This window comes from Homo sapiens, chromosome 3 (genome assembly GCF_000001405.40).
Source record: "Homo sapiens chromosome 3, GRCh38.p14 Primary Assembly".
In the NCBI taxonomy this organism is placed as follows: domain Eukaryota; kingdom Metazoa; phylum Chordata; class Mammalia; order Primates; family Hominidae; genus Homo; species Homo sapiens.
The window spans coordinates 103072295-103079467 of record NC_000003.12 but is presented as its reverse complement, the minus strand read 5'-3'; the positions used below and the strand labels follow the sequence as shown (position 1 = coordinate 103079467).

Below are 7173 nucleotides of genomic sequence, written 5' to 3'. Positions count from 1 at the left end.
ATATACACATAGATGTATATACACATTATATATATACATATATGTGTATATATATGTGTATATATACACATATATAAATGTATGACTGTGTGTGTGTGTGTGTGTGTGTGTATATATACACACACATGCATACCTGGCCGAAGATCAACTTCCAACATGGCATTCCAAGGGGTCAAATATGGAAAGCATAGCAATGGATAAACTAATTATTTACATCCATAACGTGAAATACTACTAATTAATAATAATAATAATAACACCATTGATGAATGCAGTAAAAGAGATGATGAATCTTAAATATATTTTGCAAAGTGAAGGAAGGCAGAATCAAAAGGCTAAATATTGTATCATTCCATTTATACGACAGTCTATAAAAAGCAAAACTATAAGGTCAGAAATCAGATTAGTGGTTGCCAGAGGTTAGGGATGAAAGGAGGGGCTGATTACAAATTGTCAGCATGAGGGAATTTTTGGCATGTTGGAACTATTGTCATGAACACAGAACTGTATGCATTTGTCAAAGGCCTGTCTACCACAGTGAGTGAATTTTACTGTGTGTCATTAAAAAATTAATATGAGAATTAGGGAACTGAACACAAACAATAACTATTAAACCTAACTATATTATCAATAAATTATAGCCACACTATACTCCTTATAGTAAGAAGTAAGATAACTAACCCAGGCAACTTAGAAAGTAGTATTTTACAATAAGGCTAAAGAGTAAAAGAACTTTGCACAAATACTATATTGTAGTTAGTACATTCCTTTCTCACAAGGCTATGCATCAGTAATTCTAAAGTATATTATGTGTATGCTAGGTTTGAACAAATAAGTGAATATAAATAATATGAGCTAGATTTTAAGAAAAGGGGAAGACTAAAGTGAACATTGGAGTGGTATTGAATTGGAATCATAGGTATTATTAAGAACTTGTGGTTTAAAATACATGTTTAAATACATACACACAAATATAGTTACAAATGTGTATGTGTGTGTACATATGTTAGTAACATACATATATTTCCTAGCTTTGTTCACTTAAAGGGCCTAGAAGCAATAATACCACAGTGACAATGAGCACGACGAGCACTCGATTGGTTACTTGGTTACTAAATACCAATATTCTATAAAATGATTTAAGGCTTCTTGAAAAAATGGTAGATTCTAGAGCCAAGGAAAGGGAAACATACGATGAGCCTGCAACATGTGTGGTTTCCGAAAATACAGAGGTACTCCAAACTGGATTACAGTATGTCCAAAGGTCATAGAAACCAACCTTAACGATTTTTCAATGATTAATCTTGAAAGTAAATAAAAATGGTGTTGGATAATAGCTCATATATTAGCTCATTCTTGCATTGCTATTAAGAACTACCTAAGCCTGGTTAATTTATAAAGAACAGAGGTTTAATTGGCCATGGTGTTGCAAGCTGGACAGGTTTCTGCTTCTAGGGAGGCCTCAATAAACTTGTAATCATAGCAAAAAGCTAAAGGGAAGCAAGCAAGTCTTATATGCTGGGAGAAGTAGGAAGAGAGAGAAAAGGGTGAGGTGTTACATACTTTTATAAACAACCAGATCTGGTGAGAACTCACTCACTATTATGAGAACAGCAAGGTAGAAATCTGCCTCCATGATCCAATCACCTCCCACCAGGCCCCTCCTCCAACATTGGGAATTACAATTCGACATGAGATTTGGGCGGGGACACAGACCCAACCCATATCAGATCATAAAACAAAATAGTCATAATTCTATACTTATGTAAATAAATAATTCAATAAGTAGAGGGACATGATGCCTAAATTCAATGTAGCATTCTGGATTGGATGTTGGAACAGAAAAAAAGGCATTAATCATAAAAAAAAGTGAAATCTGAAAATATTCTGTAGTTTAGTTACTAGTACTACACAAACTTAATATCCTAGTTTTATCCTGTGCTATGATTATGCCAAAATGTGTACAGTAGGAGAAAATAGGTGAATAGTATCTGGGAACTATTTGTATCATTTTTGTAACCATATTGAAATGCTAAAATGATTTCAAGTTAATAAGTTAAAAAAGCATGGTTCAGAAGAGTGTGCTAGTATGCTAGTATTTTTTTTAAGTATTGGGCATCTAATTTTATTAACATTTTATTTACTTTTTTAAGAGATGAGGTCTTTGTTGCCAAGGCTGGACTCAAACTCCTGGGCTTAAGCAATCTTCCTGCCTCAGCATTCCGAGTCCTGAGGAGGGACTGCAGAAGTCATCTTTTAAGTAGCTAATATTAACAGATACAACTAAGAATGTTATTGACAGACTGTAAAAAAATGTACTATCAAAAAGTTGCTGGAGTCCAAAGAGACATAGATCATAATTAGCTGAGATAGTGATTAATTGCATAATGGAAAAAATAGGCATTTATTTAAAAATGAATACAATTCTGAAATGTGAAAACTTTTGGATTAGGTCAAGTAAAAGGGAGCATTAGGGGGAAGAGTAGTAACGGTAACAATTTGGAGGTGGGTAAGAGGAGGGCTTATTTAGAAAAGAGTATCTAAAATTATTAGATCAGAACATGTAAAATGATAGTTTTTTTAAAAATCCTATCTCTAGAAAATCGAAAGTACCCTACATTCAAGAAAACATAAAATATAATTTCTGGAGAAAAATCCATGCTTATAGATGTGGCTTAGAATGTTCCATAGTTAGAAGACTATACAGATAATAGTAAGTAGCAATCAGCTTTGAGATTTTAAGATACATTAAAATTTTTATTGAATTAGTAATGAATAGTTTCCTGTTCCAGAAGGCTTTGCTTTCACAGATTTTTTTTTCTTTAAAGCGTCTTCTTTCAACTCTAGCAACAGTACTCTATTATCTATATATTATAGATGAGAAAGAAAAGTTTAAATGACTTGTTCACCACCCTGCAGCCATTGGGTAAAGAAGCTGATCCAAAAATCACACATCCATTATACCATACTCTTTTCAATATATTATGCTTCTGTCTGCTTTTTATAGTATCACCTAGTAACAGCCCACATTTTTAGGGAATAAGAGAAAGAAGTGTCATTTTATAATCATATAATTTAAAAGCTGAAAGGGACCCAAGAGATGAGTTAGTCTAGTTCCAAAGTGTTACAGTTCAAAGAGTAAGAACCAGCCTACAGGCATGCAATTAGTTACCATTATTGTTGATCAGACACAAGTTTCTTAGTTTCTGTCTCCTTCTACTATGTCAAATGATTTATTTTTCCGAAATCTGCTGGAAAATAAAACTGGAAACAAAACGAAGATATTTCATTAATGAATTCACTAAGAAATACCTTCAATTTACAAGAAAAAGGATCACTATAAAATTGCAGACACATTTTTTCTTCAGACTATTCAATTACATTATTCTGAGCTATCTCATTTTCTAAATCTGTAAATGATTAGTTCAGCTCTTATGATCACATTGCAGTAATTGATATCTACAATTATAAGCATTTGTATCTCGTAGCACAAATTCTGACTTGAAAAAGAAGTTGGAGAAAAGTGGGCATATACTGAAGGATTAAGTGACAGAAGTCATTACAGCAAGAATCTTTTTAGCTTCACTCACTCAGGAAGACAATTTTAACCATTTCTTTCTTGTGAATCAGAAGAAGACAGTCCTGAGTTGACTCTGGCATAGGACAGCTTTAAACTGTCCACAGAGTTCAGAATCAGTGAAATATTTGACAGAGAAGAGACAAGATTGACCAAGTAACTTGATCTGTGTTTCAAGGCAGAATTGCACTCATGCTGCTTAGCATTGCAGACATAGACAAAGACGGTTGAGGGATATCCCTGTAAACACTGTGATGTGGGATGTCCACCAGGTTCCCTCCATTTTCTCCTTTTTCAATTCCTTCTCCTTTACTTTCTCCCTCCAATCATCTGTCATCTCTCTTGCCACAACCCCAGGTCTTGTACACTCGCAAAAGCTGCAGTTAGCATAATACTGAGAAAGGCATCTCACTAATGGTTTCTGTAACTTTCACAGTGTCATCTCTAATGCCCACTGTTAGGACAGTTGGAAAGCACATTAACCTTAATAAGTAAACTAGTTATTGAACAAAAAGATATACTCATGCAGTTTCTGTCTCAAAGAAACAGCATTTTTCCATATGATTGTTGGCCTTGTGTATGTCTTCTTTTGTAAATTGTCTATTTATGTCCTTTGACCACCTTTTAATGAGGTTGTGTTTTCTGTTGTTGTTGTTGATTTGTTTACATTCATTATAGATTTTGGATATTAGACCTTCATCAGATACATAGTTTGCAAATATTTTCCCCCATTCTGTCGGTTGTCTACTCTATTGATAGTTTCTTTGGCTGCGCAGAAGCTTTTTAATTAGGTGATTAGGCCCCATTTGTCAATTTTTGTTTTCGTTGCAATTGCTTTTGGTGCCTTTGTCATGAAATCTTTGCCAGGTCCTATGTACAGAATGGTATTTTCTAGGTTATTTTCCACAGTTTTGTAGTTTTAATTTTACATCTATCTTGAGTTGATTTTTGTATATGGTATAAGGAAGGGGTCCAACTTCACATGGCTAGCCAGTTATCCCAGCACCGTTTATTGAACAGAGAGTTGTTTCCCTTTTGCTTGTTTTTGTCAAAGATCAGATAGTTGTTTATGTGTGGCATCATTTCTGGACTCTATGCAGTTCCATAGGTCTCCATATCTGTTTTTGTGCCAGTACCATGTTCTTTTGGTTTTTGTAGTGTTGTAGAATACTTTGAAGTTGGGTAGCGTGATGTCTCCAGTCTTGTTCCTTTTGCATAGGATTGCCTTGACTGTCCAAGCTCTTTTTTGTTTCCATATGAATTTTAAAATAATTTTTTCTTATTCTGTGAAGAATGTCATAGGAATAGCATTGAATCTGTAAATTGTTTTGGGCAATATGGCCATTTTAACAATATTGATTCTTCCTATCTATGAGCATGAAATGTTTTTCCATTTGTTTATGTCACCTCTAATTTCTTTGAGCAGTATTTTGTAATTTTCATTGCAGAGATCTTTTACCTTCCCTGGTTAGCTGTATTACTAGGTATTTAATTCTTTTTATGGCTATTGTGAACTGGATTGAATTCTTGATTTGGCTTTCAGATTTGATGTTGTTTGTGTATAGGAATGCTACTAATTTGCAGGCAAAGAGCATATGAAAAAATACTCAACATCACTAATCATTAGATGAACATAAATCAAAACCAAGATGAGATACAATCTCACACCAGTCAGTATGACTATTACTGAAAAGTAAAAAATAACAGATGCTAGCAAGGTTGTGAAGAAAAGAGAACACTTACACACTGGCGGTATGAATGTAAATTAATTCAGCCATTGTGGAAAGCAGTTTGGTGATTTCTCAAAAACTCAATCCAGAATTACTATTCATCCTAGATATTCCATTATGGAGTATATGCTCAAAGGAATATAAATTGTTCTACCATAAAGACAAATGCCTACATATGTCCATCACAGCACTATTCACAATAGCAAAGACATGAGATCGAGTGAAATTCCCATCAATGGTAGATTGGATAAAGAAAATGTGGTATCTATATATAATGGAATACTACATATACATAGCTATAAAAAAGAATGATATCATGTCCTTTGCAGCACTATGGATGAAGCTGGAGGCCATTATTCTAAGCAAACTAATATAGGAACAGAAAACTAAATACTGCATGTTCTTACTTATAAGTGGGAGCTAAACATTGAGTACATACTGACACAAAGAAAATCACAGGCTGGGTGCAATAGCTCATGCCTATAATCCCAGCATTTTAGGAGGCCGAGGCGAGTGGATCACTTGAGGTCAGGAGTTCGAGACCACCCTGGCCAACATGGTGAAACTCTGTCTCTACTAAAAATACAAAAATTAACTGGGCATGGTGGTGGGCACCTGTAATCCCAGCTATGCAGGAGGCTGAGACAAGAGAATTGCTTGAAGCAGGGAGGTGGAGGCTGCAGTGAGCTGAGATTGCGCCACTGCCCTCCAGTCGGGCCAACACAGAGCGAGCCTTGGTCTCCAAAAAAACAAAACAAAACAAAACAGAACAAAACAGGAAAAAAGAATCACAGACACTGAGGCCTACTTGAGGGTGGAAGGAGGGTGGAGGTTGAGAATAGAAAAACTGTCTATTGGGTACTATGCTTATTACCCAAGTGGTGAAATAATTTGTACACCAAACCTCTGTGACACACAATTTACCTACATAACAAACGTGCACATATACCACTGAACCTAAAATAAGAGTTAAAAAAATTGAAACATAATTGTACTTTGAAGGATGACAGTCTTCCCATGGGTAAAATTCAAACTAAATAAGGAAACTAAAGCAGATTCAGAGAATTGTGCATGTTTTCCTATCATACTTTATTTTTTAATAGTCTTCAAGATTTGTTGAACACAAATATATATATAATTTTTAGTTCTTGATAATAAATAATTTGGTTATAAATTAATTAATTATTGAATATTCTCCAACCCTTATGATTCAAATAATATTTGCCATGTAAAACTAGTTTTAAAAAGTCATTTAAATAGAAAAGCAGAATGTATTTATTTATTTTTATTTTATTATTATTATTTTTTTGAGACAGGTTTATACTCTGTCACCCTGGTTGGAACACAATGGCACAATCTTTACTCAATGAAACCTCGCACACCAGGGCTCCAGTGATCCGCCCACCTCAACGTCCCCAGTAGCTGGGACTACAGGTACACGCATTCACACCTGGATAATTTTTTTTTTTTTTTTTTTTTTGAGACAGGGTTTCTCCACATTGGCCTGGATGGTCTCCAATTCCTGGGCTCAAGTGATCCACCAGCCTCAGCCTCCCAAAGTGCTGGGATTACAAGCATGAGCAACCATGCCCAGCCATGATTTCTTATTAGTGAATCCCATTGTAACATTTTCTAAGAGAAGCATAATGTAACAAAACAAACACCAAGGGTAATCTTCATGTGTATTCTCTACATTGATTTACAATAAACAAGTTCATTTCTACAAGCCTTGCCTGATAGTGGCTGAATAACATAGTTAGCTGCCTTATTTTTCATTTACTCTGGTTGGATGTCTTTGACATTGTGAAAAACAGCATAAATGCAGTAACATCTAAAGCCAATAATAATAAAATAATTTTTATATTA

The 7173-nt window shown here is 34.6% G+C and overlaps 1 annotated feature.

The window, feature by feature from the left end:
• Window positions 5853-6052: a silencer, noted in NCBI's record as "fragment chr3:102792260-102792459 (GRCh37/hg19 assembly coordinates)". NCBI's record gives its function as "represses an EF-1alpha promoter that drives an FKBP-Casp9 reporter gene in an ReSE screen in phorbol 12-myristate 13-acetate-treated (for megakaryocytic differentiation) K562 erythroleukemia cells {active_cell/tissue: K562(+PMA)}" and the evidence as "EXISTENCE:reporter gene assay evidence [ECO:0000049][PMID:32094911]".